The 15,986-nt window shown below is 47.4% G+C and overlaps 1 protein-coding gene and 1 long non-coding RNA gene across 14 annotated transcripts in view, besides 4 other annotated features; one reads left to right on the top strand and one right to left on the bottom strand.

Annotated features, from left to right (window-relative positions):
* The window catches only part of FYCO1 (FYVE and coiled-coil domain autophagy adaptor 1), a 77,922-nt gene extending 72,589 nt beyond the window's left edge, over positions 1-5,333 (bottom strand). For all 13 annotated transcript variants that reach the window (NR_170107.1, NM_001386430.1, NM_001386426.1 and 10 more), the window contains exon 1: positions 5,231-5,333. The gene's annotated coding sequence lies outside the window, so the exon portion shown is untranslated. The remainder of the gene's footprint in view (positions 1-5,230) is intronic.
* Positions 2,586-3,086: an enhancer, noted in NCBI's record as "H3K4me1 hESC enhancer chr3:46034569-46035069 (GRCh37/hg19 assembly coordinates)". NCBI's record gives its function as "activates a minimal SCP1, AML or CMV promoter by ChIP-STARR-seq in primed H9 embryonic stem cells {active_cell/tissue: H9 hESC(primed)}" and the evidence as "EXISTENCE:reporter gene assay evidence [ECO:0000049][PMID:30033119]".
* Positions 5,132-5,181: an enhancer, noted in NCBI's record as "active region_19788". NCBI's record gives its function as "activates an Ori minimal core promoter by ATAC-STARR-seq in GM12878 lymphoblastoid cells {active_cell/tissue: GM12878}" and the evidence as "EXISTENCE:reporter gene assay evidence [ECO:0000049][PMID:35858748]".
* Positions 5,132-5,631: an enhancer, noted in NCBI's record as "H3K27ac hESC enhancer chr3:46037115-46037614 (GRCh37/hg19 assembly coordinates)". NCBI's record gives its function as "activates a minimal SCP1, AML or CMV promoter by ChIP-STARR-seq in naive H9 embryonic stem cells {active_cell/tissue: H9 hESC(naive)}" and the evidence as "EXISTENCE:reporter gene assay evidence [ECO:0000049][PMID:30033119]".
* Positions 5,202-5,361: an enhancer, noted in NCBI's record as "active region_19789". NCBI's record gives its function as "activates an Ori minimal core promoter by ATAC-STARR-seq in GM12878 lymphoblastoid cells {active_cell/tissue: GM12878}" and the evidence as "EXISTENCE:reporter gene assay evidence [ECO:0000049][PMID:35858748]".
* LOC105377063 (uncharacterized) lies at positions 5,412-10,756 on the top strand. Its single transcript, XR_940799.3, has 3 exons — positions 5,412-5,598; positions 10,422-10,464; positions 10,593-10,756. It is a non-coding gene; the product is annotated as an uncharacterized LOC105377063 (long non-coding RNA).
* The last annotated feature ends 5,230 nt before the right edge of the window (positions 10,757-15,986 follow it).

The raw sequence follows: 15,986 nt of genomic DNA on the forward strand, positions 1-15,986 counted from the left end.
GAGTCTCACATTATGCTTCTGTGGCTTCTGGGGCCATTTGTCACAATGGTAATTTTTTGTTGAATCTCTATTCTTTCCACTTGACTGTAAACTTCGTTGCTGTTCATGATTTCCCCTAGCACAGTTCTGGCACATGGAGAGCCCTCAATAAATTACTGCTGAATGAATGAATGAATTAGACAAAACAAAACACATAGATCCTTGCCCCACCATACAAACTAAACTTTGAGGCATAGAAATGTACAAAGATGTAAATACTACTAATCTTTCAATGGTGGCAACAAGAGCACTTTTTTTTTGAAATGGAGTCTCGCTCTGTCGCCAGGCTGGAGTGCAGTGGCGCGATCTCAGCTCACTGCAACCTCCCCCTCCCAGGTTCAAGTGATTTCCCCTGCCTCAGCCTCGTGAGTAGCTGGGGCTACAGGCGCACGCCACCACGACTGGCAATTTTTTTTTTAAATGTATTTTAGTAGAGACGGGGTTTCACCATGTTGGCCAGGATGGTCTTGATCTCCTGACCTCGTGATCCACCCGCCTTGGCCTCCCAAAGTGCTGGGATTACAGGCATGAGCCACTGCGCCCGGCCATCATGAGCACATTTTTAAAAAAATTCTATTTCTCTGATTTTTCAATTTTCCTTTATTGAGCATAAATTATTTGTATGTTGAATAAAATAATGCACTTAAAACACCATGTAGAAATTGTGAACATTATGTTGTAATTATTGTAAAAATATTGTGAGCTATTATTCCCAGAGTGAATAGAATAATATAATTCAGGGATGGATGAAGTGTGTCTACTCCACACTGCCTACCTAGCCTCTCTTTATAAACAGACCTCTGGTGTCCTGAGAGCTCAGGTGACTGCTGTCAGACATGGGTACAAATCTCTTAACCCAGCTTGTGAGGCCCTTTACAGATGGGCTGCCTGACCTCGATAGGGATAGGCCCATCTTCTTGTCCCTCCTCCTTCCCTTCTTCCCCTCTGCCTATGTTCAGGCATCCCTGCGATGCCCTTCTGTGGCTGGGCCCTGCCTCCAGGGTTTGAATGCTCTGCTCCCTCTGCCAAGGCCATGCCCTGCCCAGCTCATGCTCCCTACACCTTCCTTTGGCCAGCTGCTCCAGTCTCGCTGGGTTTGGTGTGGACAGGAGGAAGTGTGAACCACAGTTCGGTTCCCGAGGAAGCCTTACCCACAGCCTCCTTCACCCCATCCTGGAAAATGAAAAGCACCGCCACCCTCACAAACAACCCTGCTAACCCAAACCTCCTGTCAGGGGGTGAATTGTGCACACCACCCCACCGCATTTCGATGTTGAAGCCCTAACCCTCATACCTCAGAATGTGACTGCATTTGAAGACAGGGCCTTTAAAGAGGTAATGAAGATTAAATGAGGCCATGAGAGTGGGCCCAAATCCAATTGGAACTGGTGAGTTTATAAGGGGAATTCTGGACACACACAAGAGATACCAGGGATGCGGAGCACAGAGGAAAAGCCGTGTGAGGCCACAGCAAGAAGGCGGCTGTCTGAGAGCCAAGGAGAGAGGCCTCAGGAGAAGCCAAACCTGCCAATGGCTTGATCTGGGACTTACAGCCTCCAGAACTGTAAGAAAGTACATTTCTGCTGCTTAAGCCACTCAGTTTGTGGTATTTTGTTATGGCAGCCCTAGCACAAATACACCTCCCAAGGCCCTTGTCTCTCCATTCCTGAAAGTGTGCATGTGACACCATCAACAAGGCAACCTGGGGAGGGGAGGTGCTGGTGGGCCTGGGTTCTGTTGCACTTCTTGGGGAGGAGCATGACAACAGCAGTGCCAGCGTAGGTGCAGAGAGGCAGAAGGTGGGGCCATGCTGCAGATGGGAGGGGCAAGCAGGACCCAGGATGGCTCTGAAGCTGGAGTTGGAGCAATGAGCAAGATATTTTCTTCTCTCTTACCAGTGGTAGCCAAGTTTTGTCAAATGGGACCCTATTTAGATTTTGGAATCAGACTAGTTACGTGAACTTTCCATTATGTATTATGCAACAAAGATCATGCCATGGTTGGGTGAGACCCAAGGTATATTTAGCTTACTCAACTATTTTTAGGCACTCTATCTGTCCTGGGGAAGTCATTTGACCTCTTCCTACCTTTCTTTTTTCAGATGCAATGTTGAGAGGTAAACTTCCTTCATGTGAATTAATTAAGAATTGCAACCCTTGAAGGAGGTGGGAAAGGGGGGGTAACAGACATTCTCAGTGGCTGAGGCTTCTAAGTGTCCCCTCCCTGCTCCTGACCAAGTCTACAGATACCCTGGAAAAAGCATCTGGGGCTGCAGAGTCAACTTCAGGAAATTCCTTCCAGCTCCATTTTAAACCACTGTTTCTGATTCAGCTATCCAGCCCTATCCTGGACTTCACATAGGGATTCTTCTCTTGGCCTTGCCCCCTGCATGCTAATGGTTTTCTTGGAATGCTTTTTTTGGTCCAAGCTTTTCTTTTGTATGCTAAGGACTTCCCCTAACTCGGGTTCCTGGGACTGGCCTAGGGTATAGTACTCTAGATTCCTGAGGTAGTTGGCCAGATCAGCCCTTGGGTCCCAGCCACAGGGCCACAATACTATACCCAAACCACAGATTCTCCTTAAGTCTTTCATCAGAACCACACTGATGTACACATCCTCCAAATGGCATCCGGCCTAATGAGAAACAGGCCCTTGGTGCCTTTCAAATGCCACAGAGATCCAAGTGAACAGGAAGGACCACTGGAAGTTACTAAAATCAACAGGTTGACTGGCTCCCATGTGAGAAAAGGGATAAAACTGCTCTTGCCTAACTGAGCACAGCTTCTGCCATCATCCTCTTCTCAAAGCCATGGGGCCCATTTGCTCCAAGGCAATGGCTCTTATTATGGGGGTAGTACAGACATTTCAGCCATTTTTGTGATGTATCAACGAACAGCAAGAAGGTAAACAGCATTTCCATAGGTAGAACCACAGAAACATTCCAATTCCCACCCTATTGATTTATTTAATTGCTCAGATAGAGGCTCTTATACCAATAAAGACTTCTTATTTTCTTGAAACTGGCATTGAGCTCACAAACAAAATACTGTTTATCTTTTGACTAAGACAAGAACATAGCAGTCATGACGTGAGCAGATGTTGCCCTGACCATAATGGACTCATCTGTGCTCACAAGTTGCCTCTGTAATCACAGGCACCAGTTAATGACCCTTACCTGCTGCCTAGGGCTGCTTGCAGTGAACGTGGTTCCTAAATCTAGGTGCCTACCAGTGATTTCCACCATAAGACCACAGCTAGACAACACACTTCCTCTGCCTCATGTTTAAAGACATTCTAGTCTTGAGTCACCAAAGCTGTGTCTTTGGAATCTTCAGTAAACAAAAGTTACCTATCAGCTAAACATCTCCCCTAAAGGGAAGCAGGGTGGGTGGGGGTGAGGGGGCTGCCATTTCTTGCGTACCTACTTTGTATTCTTGAGTCAGCAGTCCATAGCCTTGGTGACCAATATGGGTCAAAGCTACCAGCTGCTCTGATCTTGCTCTGTTATGGGTGATTCCTCTCATCACAAACATCTATGGGGGCCATCCCCCTCAAAAAGGACCAGGTTAAAAACTTGGCTCCTGAAATTATACTGGTGCTCCAAACCCAGCCCCAAGGGGCAAAGGTCATCGGAACAACAGCTAAAGGATCACTGCCTGAGACTGTTACCAATCTCTAAAGTAACTGCAAAAAAAAAAAAAAATCAAAGTAAAATATTAAGAATTGAGTATACGGATATTCACCATACAATCCTTTCAGTGATTCTGTATGTTTATTTTTCTAATAAAATATTAAAAACAATTTAAAAAGTAAATGAAGTGCTACACAAAGATAGTCACTTTGAACATAAACAGATAAACTCTATTTCCTAAAGCAAGAGCCTTTAGGAGAGATCCTATTAATCAAAGGAGGCTGAGATCCATCACTGTGACAATTAGCTCTTATTTTCAGGGTGATAATAACCACGGTGCACAACTAGTATGGGGCATTCAATGCTTTCAGAACAGTGGTTGTCACAGAAGGGAGGGTCAAGTGGAGCTCACTCAACAGGGGTCCACTTCAGAAGGTGGGAACTACTGAAAGCAGAAAACCTTGGCATGATAGCTCCAGCTCCCCACCCCTCCCCCACACCAGCCCCCAACACCCTCCAGCCGCATTAGGCAGATGGCAGGGGAATTAAGCTTGCAGCCTGAGACCACAAGGCCTGCACGGGCAGGAGAACCAGTGAGCAGATTAAGCCCTGGATCCTCTGCCCCGCAAAAGCCCCTGACCCATTTCTCTGTCGGGAAAGGAAACTGCTGTGGTAAGACAAGCAGAGGGGCTGAGAGGCTCTGGCCAACACAGGCAGTTTCAACAAGTGTTCTATTTTTTTTTCTGGAGAGGACACCCAATGGGAACAGTGAAGAGTGACAGGGACATCAGAGAATACATGTGCTTTAACAGGGGGCCACGCGGTTAACGTGTCAACCACATGTGCTTTTCTTACAAAAAATAAAATCCCGCCATCCTCCCCCCTCCCCGCCCCACCCCCGCCAGGTTTCAACAGCACGGACTCCAGTCCAGTGCAGTGCCGCCACACCAGAGACAACAGGTGTTTCGGGAAAAGACCCCTGGGGGCTAGCTCGAGACCCTGCGCATGGGCACAAGGGGCAGTGGATAGTGAATAGGTCTTGGCCAAAGGATGGGCCAGGAAGAAAGAAGCTTCTTCCCCTCCTGGGAAGAGGGCAGAGATCCGAGCACCAGCGGAGTCTTGCAAAGTGAAGGTCTGGGCTGTCCCGGCCCAACTGGGCCAGAGACTAAACTTCCTAAAGACCACGCAGGCAGGAACTCCGGGGCCTGCCCCATCCTGCGCTAAGACATTCAGGCTTGTTCTGAGACGCCGCATGGTGGGCTCCTTTCCTTTGCGGGCCCTCCGCCCTCCGGGGTCTTGGAACTGGTGTTTGGGGTCTGTCTTTCTAACCGACCAACAGAGGCAGGCTGGGTGCCTGGGCCGGCTTCCACCTGCCCGAGGTGCTTCCCGGCCCGCTGGGCAAGGACGGGGGCGCTCGGGCAGGGTCTGAGGGAGACCTGGGATGGGCGGGGACTGTAAGGGCAACAGGTGACAAGCCGCGCCCCGAGCGAAGCTCTCGCCTCAGGGATCGTGAGCGACCCAGGTGCCCCCAGAGTCCAGCCGGTCTTCCGCGGCACTTACGCGCTCGTGGGTCCACCGCCGGGCAGAACCGAAACTTTCTGGGGCCAAGCGGAAGAGGACGGGAACGCGGTGCTGACGGCCATGACGCGCACACCAAGAGGGTGGCGGGGGCGGACTACAACTCCCGGCGTGCTCCCCGGGGCTGAGGCCTGCAACTCCCATCGGACTCCCGGGGCTCCGACTACAACTCCCGGCGACTCCGCAGGGCGGGGTTTAAGTGCTCCCACCGCCCAGTCCCCGGACCGACTGTCCCACCCGCGACCCATGCTGGCCCCAGGTTAACGCCTGCAACCCCGGAGGGCCACAAATCAAAGGTCTGGCATCTTGACAACAACGCTGTTCTTGTGTGGCTAAGGAGCACTCCAAAGGTAGCTAGTTCGAGTTGAATCGTGCACGTGCTGTAAGTGTGAAATACACCTAGGTACCAAAGAGTCCGAAGAATGTTAACTAGCTCATTAATTTTTAGTGATTGCATGTTAAAATGATAATATTTTGATATATTGGGAAATAGAAAAACATGTATTGGTGGGCCTAATTTCCCATCTTTTAATCCCCCTTATTTCTTAATATCAGGGTCTTACTTAAAATTAGTGCTCAAAAACTACGTGTTTATGAACTACCACCCCTAACTTTGGCCCCATCCTCAGCCCAACTTCTATTTATAAGATGGGTGTTGCAAAGCACTGTGGAACTGAATACGATAGAACAAAATGCATTCAATCAGTGTCCGCTATGGGCACAGTAGAAAAGAGGAACACTACACGGGGACTTTGGCTTCTAACTGACTGCATTCCTTAGCTGTGGCTGGCTATCCTTTACTCTCTGCCCTAGTTCTCATCATTTAAGCCAGAAACAGCTCTCTCCCTTGTAGGACCTAGCTCGTGGTATCCAGTCAGGAACCGTGGTGGCCCAACATTCTAAACTGAGGAAGCAGGGTGTTGTCTGGGTACAATAATACAGAAAGAAAATCAATTTCTTAGTCGATTTTAGGCTATGACATCTCATTAGCCATCTAATTTTATAAATTAGATGTAGCTAAAACAGTGAGTTGGATGGATGGAGTAGTCAGTTTGGGGGTGGGGTTGGGAGGAGGTACATGAATAGAAGTGATTTCCACTCTTGTTAACAGAAAGGAGAACAGAAAGAAAACGGGGGGAGTGAGAAGATGACAAAGAGAAAAGTAATCAATGTAGTGGTCTAAGAGAAATCATTGCTCCAACCACTGTCTGAACAGCTTCATGCAATATTAAGGATGAGAGAGATTTTAATGTTGGTCATCTGGTCCAATATCCTTGTTTGAAACTGTGTGGGGAAAAAAAAACCTCCCTCAAACCGTATTTTTCCTCTACTCTTACACAACAGCAATCATCAACACAGGAGAATAATTTGGTGACCAGATGTGTGTGGGGTTTTCCCCACACACTGAGCAGTGGACCGCACCTGGGTGTCCTCCAATTCAATTCCGACACTATCTACCTGGAGTATCAGATCCCACAAGTGGAGGGCTCAGTCCCCAAGACTGCCTCCTCACCTTTAAACACCAGTTGTAAGTCTAGGCCTCCAGAATTTTGGAATGACTGGCTTCAAGTTGAGTTCCCACGACACCCTCTTTGGGTTCAGCTAATTTGCTAAAGTGGTTCATAGAACTCAGAGAAACACATTTACTGGTCTATTATAAAGGATACTGCAATGGATGCAGATAAAGAGACACGTAGGATGAGGTGTGGAGGAAGGGGCGTGGGGCTTCCATGCCTTCCCTGGATGCACCACTCTTCAGTAACCTCCACGTGTTCAGCTATCCCGAAGCTCCCCGAATCCAGTCCTCTTGGGCTTTTATGGAAGCTTCGTGATGTCAGCATTGCTTCCCCCAGGGTATAGGGGAGGACCCTCTCTTGGGAGGGTCTTAAGACCTATAATCAGAAAGGCGGGGGAAGCGGCTGGGCACGGTGGCTCACGCCTGTAATCCCAGCTCACGCCTTGGGAGGCCGAGGTGGGCGGATCACCTGAGGTCGGGAGTTTGAGACCAGCCTGACCAACATGGAGAAACCCCATCTCTATTAAAAATACAAAATTAGCCGGGCGTGGTGGCACATGCCTATAATCCCAGCTTCTAGGGAGGCTGAGGCAGGAGAATCGCTTGAACCCGGGAGGCGGAGGTTGCGGTGAGCCAAGATCGAGCCATTGCACTCCAGCCTGGGCAACAAGAGCAAAACTCCATCTTAAAGAAAAAAAAAAAGAAAGAAAGGCGGGGGAAGATTAGAGTCCTGCCTTAAAGCAGGTGAAAGGAGGGCAGAAGGCCAGAGAGATTCGGTTTCCTGAAGCCTAACATACCTAACATAACAAAAGACTGTAACAAGGGCTATGGGAGTTATGAGCCAGGAACCATGGAAGAAAACCAAGATAGATAGATAGATAGATAGATAGATAGATAGATAGATAGATAGATAGACAGACAGATAGACAGACATCATAATACCACAGAAACTTAAACCCAAAAGGAGTTTGAAAAGAAAAGGAAAACAAACCTAATATTTATTGAGGACCTATATGCCAGTCCCTAGCCCCCCAGCAAAAAAACAAAAAACAACAACAAAAACCCATTCAGCATTATATTTAAAACTTGCAGCCACTTGGTGACATAATTAGTATTCATTATCATACTTTGAAGATGAGGAGATGAAGCTCAGAGAGGTTAAATGACTGTCCTGGTCCACCCACCTAATAAGTGGTGGAGAGTGGTGGAGGCTGGGGTAGAGCTGGGGGCTCCTGAGGGGTCTTCTGTCACCCAGCACACTGTCAGATACAGGGAAGGTTAACAAAATCACTACTGTTCAGGTAGTTTAACTTGGATTTCCTTTATAGATACAGCAGAGTATTTCAAACTATAATCTTTCAAACAAACATACAAACAAACGCAGCATATTCTTGTGTTCTGATGTGAATACACATTAAGAGATCAGATTCAAAATCACCAAATCCCCACACCCTCTCCTTACAGCCTTAACAAGTGGCAGAAGAGGAGACTATTCCTCACGGGAAGCTGACCGTGCCCACGGCCCTGAGGAGGGATGAGGCTCTTGGAATGATTGTTAAGGGCTTTTTATGTGCCAGGTGCCATGTTATGTGTATTCCACACCTGGTTTAGTTTTATCCTTATATCAGTCTCATGATACATAATTATCCACATTAAGCAGATAAGCAAACAGCCTTAGAGAAGTTAGCTAATTTGCCTAAAGCCCAAACCTTATAGTGGCAGAGACAAATTTTGAGCTCAGGTCTGTCCAATTAGAGTTTAAGCCTTTAACCACTGTGATGGCAGCTCCTTCCATGGGGCAGCCATGTGCTCTGCCAAGGACCCTACCATTGTGGCCCCTGCTGGTCAGGCCAGAAGTGGATGCCAGCCATGCCAATGGCATGGGGTGGCAGCTCAAAAGAGTCAGCCTCCTCTTGATAGTCACTGGTCAATTAATCTCTCTGCTGGAAAATTCGAGTGTAAGACCCACGGAAGGAATCAGAAGTTGACTGCAGAATCAACAGCTCTAAGCTGGTTGAGCTATCTTCCCCTACAGAACACAGCTTTTCAGTAATGATTCATAGACAATGCAGAAGGATGTGGACCTCAGGGCTCCGGAATTTGGTTTGAATTCTGACATGTATATTTTCCAGAATTTTTTCTCCATAACTCTACTATTGACTTTTCTCCTCAACCCTTCATCAACTGAAAACTTTTGAAATTTTAAAATAAGCTCTTGATAATACAGATTTAGACTTTTTCCATTTTAAGTGATAATAATAGAAAATAGCATTTCCCACAGAATAAGGGGACTATACTTCCTGGTTCAGCCAAGAGAGCCCTGTTATCCCAGCATGAATATTCACAGCACCTCTGTTCACTCCCAGTGGTGTCCCATTTTCTCAATACATTATAGTTACTGTTCGGGAAAAACTCTCAAACCGGTTTTCCTCTGTTCTCACACCACAACAATCAACACAGAAGACTTCTGCATTTCCTGAGGATTCCTTTCCACCACAAAGCAAGCAATCACTTCTGCAGCAGATACCAACTGGGTGTCCTCCAATTGAATTCTGACACTGTCTACCTGAAGATGGTGTCAGAGCCTGCCACTTTGGGGCCCACAACCCAAGAATCATGCTTCCCTCCTTAGATACCAGTCACAAGTCCGGCCCTCCAGAACTTTTGACTGACCAGCTTTGAGTTGGGGTTCCCAAGACCTCCTCTTTGGGTTTGATTGGTTTACTGAAGCACCTCACAGAACTCAGGGAAACACATTTACCAGTTTATTAAAAGGATATTACAAAGGATACAGATAAAGAGACGATACACAGGGCAAGGTATGGGGGAAGGGGCGCCAGAGCTTCCATGCTCTCCCTGGGCATACCACCCCCCAGGAACCTCCACGTGGTATGGAAACTCTGTGAACCCAGGCCACTTGGGTTTTTATGGAGGCTTCATTATATAAGCATGATTGATTAAGTCATTGGCCATTGGTGATCAACTTAACCTTCAGCTTCTCTCCCCTCTTGGTAGGTTGGTGGTGGAGCTAAGTCCCAACCCTCTAATCATGCCTCTGTCTATGGTGACCAGCCCCACCCTGAAGCTGTCAGTCTCTTATTGCAGGTAGCTAGGCAGACATGAGCAGGGCAGGAGACCCCCTCACCCCTGCCAAGGAATGTCAGGCAACCATCAGGTGATGGTTAGGGAGGAGGACGAGGAATCTCACATACACGTTTTCCTCCATTTCTTGAATCACTTCCATGCCCTTGCCAATATGCATCCAGACCTTCAAGGTCATATTTGAAGGGAAAGAAGTCCATTCCATTCTGGCAGTTGGCTGAACTGGTACAGACACAGGCTTCTCATCTACTTTAAGAAAAATGTGAAATGAGATGATAAGAAAAGAGATACTCACTTTGTTGCTAGAATGCTCTGAGAGAGTCACTGTAAGTTCATGGATACAAGGATATAGGCTGGCCCAAGGCCACAGGCTCAAGAGACAAAAGTACCCACCGGACAGAGATGAAGGCTGGTCCCAGGCTACAGGCACAGAATAGATTACCCTAGAACAGAGATGAAGGCAAGGTTAGGGGTATCCGTAAGACCAGTTCATTCTGAAACTCCAAGGATGAATAAGGGGACCCCTATTCACTCTGGTATCTCCTGTCTTCTCAGGTGGATAAACATGATGAGATGGGAGCAAGCTTAAGGGTACCAGGTAAGACCGGTTCACTCTGGAGCCCCAAGGATGAATGGGGCATACCCTGTTCAGGAAGGGATAATAGGGAAATAAGAGAGGATACCTTCTTTTTCCCTTTTTTTTAATCCTCTATTCTCTCTTCACAGATGGATAATCACATATTCATACCATGGGACATGCCCCTCGGATGCATCCTCAAGAAGGGAGAAAAGTTTGAACCCCAAACCCTAAAAAGGAAAAGGCTAATATTTTTCTGTAACACAGCTTGGGTTGAATAAAATCTCCAGGACCAGTAATGTTGGCCAGAAAACAGAAGCATAAATTTTAATACAATCCATCAACTAGATTTGTTTTGCTGTCAACAGGGAAAATGAACAGAAATCCTTTATGTACAGGCCTTCGTGGCCCTAAGAAACAACCATGGCCTTTGTCAGGCTTGTAAAATGGATCCAGTGATGATAGCGGCCATTGTCAGGCAGCTGCCACCAGTTGGTTTGGGAGGCCTCTTATTGGGTTTACCCAGGGCTCAAGCCCCAGAGGAACCAAGGGCAGAGCTTGGGTCAAACCCCACTGCCCCTTCTACCCCTTAATATCCAAGTCTTCCAGCCTTGGATCCTTGCTCTTTCTAGCCAGGGCCACCCTCTGGACACCACCCCCTTAAGTTATGCCCCTTTCAAGAGGTTAGCAGCCCCAGTGGACCCACTAGAGTCCAGACTCCGTTCACTATGTAAGACCTGAGCCAGATTAAGATGGAAGTAGGAAGTTTATGGAAGACCCTGAAAAATACATCAAAGCGTTCCGTAAACTGGGCTAAACATTTGAACTCACCTGGAGGGCCCTCTCAGTCATACTATGGCAAACTCTGTTTAAGGGAGAATGTGACTCCATTACAGAGGTGACCCAGCAATTTATAACTACAATGCACATGACTGACTCTGGTGGCAACACTGTGGGGGCCACCGCAGTTCCCTAGGTTGACCCTAATTCGGGTTACCATACCTGGGGGCGGTATATGGGCAAGGAACCACATGTTTCTCTGTCTGGTAGAAGGAATGAAAGCTAGCAAAACAGAGCCTATGAACTATAATAAATCGGCCTTAATAGATCAAGGCCCTCTTGAAAACCCCTAGAGAGGCTACAAGAGGCACTAATGAAACATACTAACCTAGACCCAGACACACCAGAAAGACAACTGACCCTAAAGGACCATTTCCTAACTCCGGCAGCCCCAGATATTCAGAGGAAACTCCAAAAGCTAGCACTGGGCCCCAACGCCCCGGGCCTGATATCTTCAAAATAGCTTCCTCAATCTTCTACAACCAAAACCAGGAGAAGGAGGAAAGAGCTCAGGAAAAGGGAGGCAAAAGGAAAAGTAGCAGCTCCAACTCTTGGCTGCACTACAAGTCTGCCAGCCCCCTCCAGGTTGCCCTCAGATTACCCTCGCAGGTAACTGCCATCAGCACAGGAGGGCAGGCCACTGGAAGGCAAACTGCCCCAATAGGACTGATGGAAAAAAGCCCCGCATGGCTTGCCCCCACTGCCACAAGCTTGGCCACTGAAAATGGGACTGCCCTGAGGATCGAAGGGACTCTGGGACAGAATCCCAACCCCTGATGGCCTTGAGCTGAAGGAGCCCTACACATCAGCCAGCTCCCAGATTGAACATCACTGTTGAAGGGACAGACCCAAGGGCTGCTTTGGACATGGCAGGTAGGACTATAAGTTTTCTTTTGGATATGGGAGTGGACTACTCAGTGCTTACCTCTTTTCCTGAGCAATTATCCTCCAAATCCTCGCTGGTGCTGGGGCTAAATGAGGTGCCTATAAGCTGAAGATTTACTCCTCCTCTCTGGTGCCTGTAGGGGGAAACTGTCTTTTCTCATTCATTTTTAATGATGCCAGAATGTCCTATGCCCCTTTTGGGTAGAGATAGTTTATTTAGACTAGAGGCTTAGTTAACCTTTCCTCTAAGGCAACACCTCCTTTTCCAAATGCAATCTTATGCCTCAAGGAAACCACACACAGGATGAACTGCTAACAGACCTTTCCATTAATCCAGAGGTCTGGGCCACAGGAATACATGGAAAGGCCATAATGGCAATGCCTGTAGTAATTCATCTCAAGGATCCTTCTTGCTATCCTTGTAGAAGGCAGCTGGCCAAAGAGGGACTTTGGCTCCTGATTGAAAATTTTCTGTAACGTGAATTATTAATACTCGATAACTTGCCCTGTAACACCTGCATCCTACCTGTTAAGAAGAGCAATGAGGCCAGGCGCAGTGGCTCACACCTATATCCCAGCACTTTGGGAGGCTGAGCCGGGTGGATCACTTGAGGTCAGGAGTTTGAGACCAGCCTGGCCAACATGGAGAAACCCCCTCTCTACTAAAAATACAAAAAAAAAAAAAAAAAATTGCCAGGCATGGTGGCACATGCCTATAATCCCAGCTACTCGGGAGGCTGAGGCAGGAGAATCGCTTGAACCTGGGAGGCAGAGGTTGCAGTGAGCCAAGATTGCGCCATTGCACTCCAGCCTGGGGAATAAGAGCAAAACTCCGTCTCAAAAAATAAAAAAAAGAGCAATGACAAATACAGGCTAGTCCAGGACCTGCGAATCATAAATGAGGCAGTAGTCCCAGTGGTCCCCAACCCATATATATTAATAATTCTAGGAGAAGTACCTCCAGATACTCAGTTGTTTTCAGTCTTAGACCTCAAAGACACTTTCTTTCGTATCTCCCTAGACTCATCCTCCCAATTTTATTTGCATTTGAGTAGGAGAATAAGAAAGCAAGGCATCAACAGCTCACCTGGACAGTGCTTCCACAAGGTTTCACAGATAGTTCCCATTTGTTTGGGCAAGCCTTGGCTAGAGATTTGCAGGACCTGACTCTTGAGGTGGGGCAGATGGCTCCTACAGCATATGGATGACCTGTTAATCTGCTCCCCCACAAGACAGCTGGGAATCCAACATCTAGTCCAGACACTAAATTTACTGGCAGACAGAGGGCACAAGGTGTCCAAGGCCAAGACACAGCTACTAAGACAAGAGGTCCAATACTTGGAGATAATCATGACCCCTGGAGAACATAAGTTCTCCCCAGAATGGATACAGGCCATCTTTAAAATACTTCTCCCAGCCACCCAAAAGCAGCATCAGGCCTTTCTAGGGATCACAGGATATTGCAGAGTTTGGATACTGGGACATGGTGGGATTGTTCAGTACTTATATCAGGCTCTAAAAGAAAGGACTGATAGGCACCCACTTCTTTGGGTAAATGATCAGGAGCAAGACTTTATACAGCTAAAAACTGCCCTCTTACAAGCCCCAGACCTTGGGCTACTCACACTAACCAATCCATTTCAGCTTTTTGTCACTGAAAGGCAAGGTGTAGCCCTAGGAGTTCTAAGTCAAACCATCGAGCCAATCAAACATCCGGTAGGCTGTAGGAGCCATCTGCCCCACCTCAAGAGTCAGGTCCTGCAAATCTCTAGCCAAGGCTTGCCCAAACAAATGGGAACTATCTGTGAAACCTTGTGGAAGCACTGTCCAGGTGAGCTGTTGATGCCTTGCTTTCTTATTCTCCTACTCAAATGCAAATAAAATTGGGAGGATGAGTCTAGGGAGATACGAAAGAAAGTGTCTTTGAGGTCTAAGACTGAAAACAACTGAGTATCTGGAGGTACTTCTCCTAGAATTATTTTTAAAGAACCTAGACCCAGTAGTGCAAGTGTGGTCACACTTGTTGCAGTGGCCATCCTACTTGAGGAGGCCCTTAAAATCACCATGGGACTGTCAGTCCGACTCCTGACATTCCAGCAAGTAGGCCCCTTATTGAACATAAAAGTGCCATAATGGCACACTGATAACAGACTGCTAAAGTACCAAGTCTTGTTGTTAGAAAACCAACAGGTAACAGTTGAGTGGTATTCCACCCTTCACCCAGCCTCCTTACTGCCACTACGAGGAGACTATAACTCAACACATTCATGTTGTGAGATACTTAACCAAATTTATGCCAGCTGGGAAGACTCAAAGAATCAGCCCCTAGATAATCCGGACGAAATATGGTTTTCAGATTAAAGTAGTTTTGTCTGGAATGGAACTAGATATGCAGGGTACACTATAGTGTCCCTTCATCTAGTTCTGGAGGCTAAAGCTCTGTCCCCGGGGACCTCAGTGCAAGTAGCCAAACTCATTGCACTAACCAGAGCCCTAAAACTAGGGAAAGAAAAAGAATAACCATGTATACAGATTTTAAATACGCCTTTCTGGTGTCTCATGTCCATGTGGCTATCTGAAAGGAAAGGGGGGTACCTAACAGCTTGGGATACTCCTATTAAGTATGGGCCTCAAATCTTAGAGCTCCTAGAGGCTGTTCATTTGCCCTGGGAAGTGGCAGTAGTGCACTGTAGAGGACACCAGAAGGGTTCTGATGAAACTGCATGAGGAAAACGGTTAGCTGACCAAAAAGCTAAAGAGGCAGCCGTCTCAAAAAATACCTTCATGGAGGCCTCGCTCCCCTCTCCCACCAGTGAACTGCCCCCTTTCCAGTACACTAAGGAAGAAATAGATTGGGCCACCCAACGTGGGTATAAGGAAGAAATCAGTGGTTGGTACAGGTTGGGAGGGCTTCTCTATCTACCTAAAGCCTCCCAAAGAAAGTCATCAAGAGTTTCCACAACTCCTGCCGCCTTGGAAAGGACAGACTAGGGCAAATTTGTAAATGGGCGTTTAGCAGGAAGGCACTAAATAAAACTATTCAACAGATTTGTCAAGCCTGCACCTTGTGCACCATAAATAATCCTCTGAGAGAGAAGCCCCCTCCATTAATAAGTGCAATCCAAAGGAGAGGCACATACCCTGGGGAGGACTGGCAGATGGACTTCACTCAGCTTCCCAAATGCTACAGGAGCTGAGTGAAACTCAACTCCAACCCATGGAGCCACCTGCCCTGACAGCTAACAAGAGGCCAAGAACCACAGAACAACCACCACTGCCCCTCTGTCAGCAGGAAGCAGTTACAGAAGACTGTTCTTCGTCCATTTTCCCAAAGAATTGGGTCTTGGACTCTTTAGGGGGGAAATGTTAGAGTAGGTAGTTAGGCAGACATGAGCAGGGCACAAGGGGGCCCTCCTCCCCACCAGGAATGTCAGGCAACTCTCCGATGATGGTCAGGCAACTCTCCGATGATGGTCAGGCAGTTGTCAAACTGTCTCTCTAAAATAGTAATTAGTTGCAGCTGGCAACTAGACAGTCTCCCAATAGACAGAAAACACTTGAAGCTGGTGATCAGTGGCTTCCCAGTAAGATCTCAGGAATTGGGGAAAATGGGCTGAAGCATGCACACTAAGCAGCAAAATGGTGGAGTTTAACTGGTAGATGACCTTCACCTAAGAACACTCAGTTGGTAAGGGAAAAACGCCTCAAGTGAGCATATGTACAACTTCCTAAACACACTGCGCATGCAGCCCCTCCCAAGTGCTGGCAGGCCAGTGTACTGAGGACAAGCTGTCCTGAAGGAAAAAATCAAAGAAGAG

Source organism: Homo sapiens, chromosome 3, assembly GCF_000001405.40.
Source record: "Homo sapiens chromosome 3, GRCh38.p14 Primary Assembly".
NCBI lineage: Eukaryota > Metazoa > Chordata > Mammalia > Primates > Hominidae > Homo > Homo sapiens.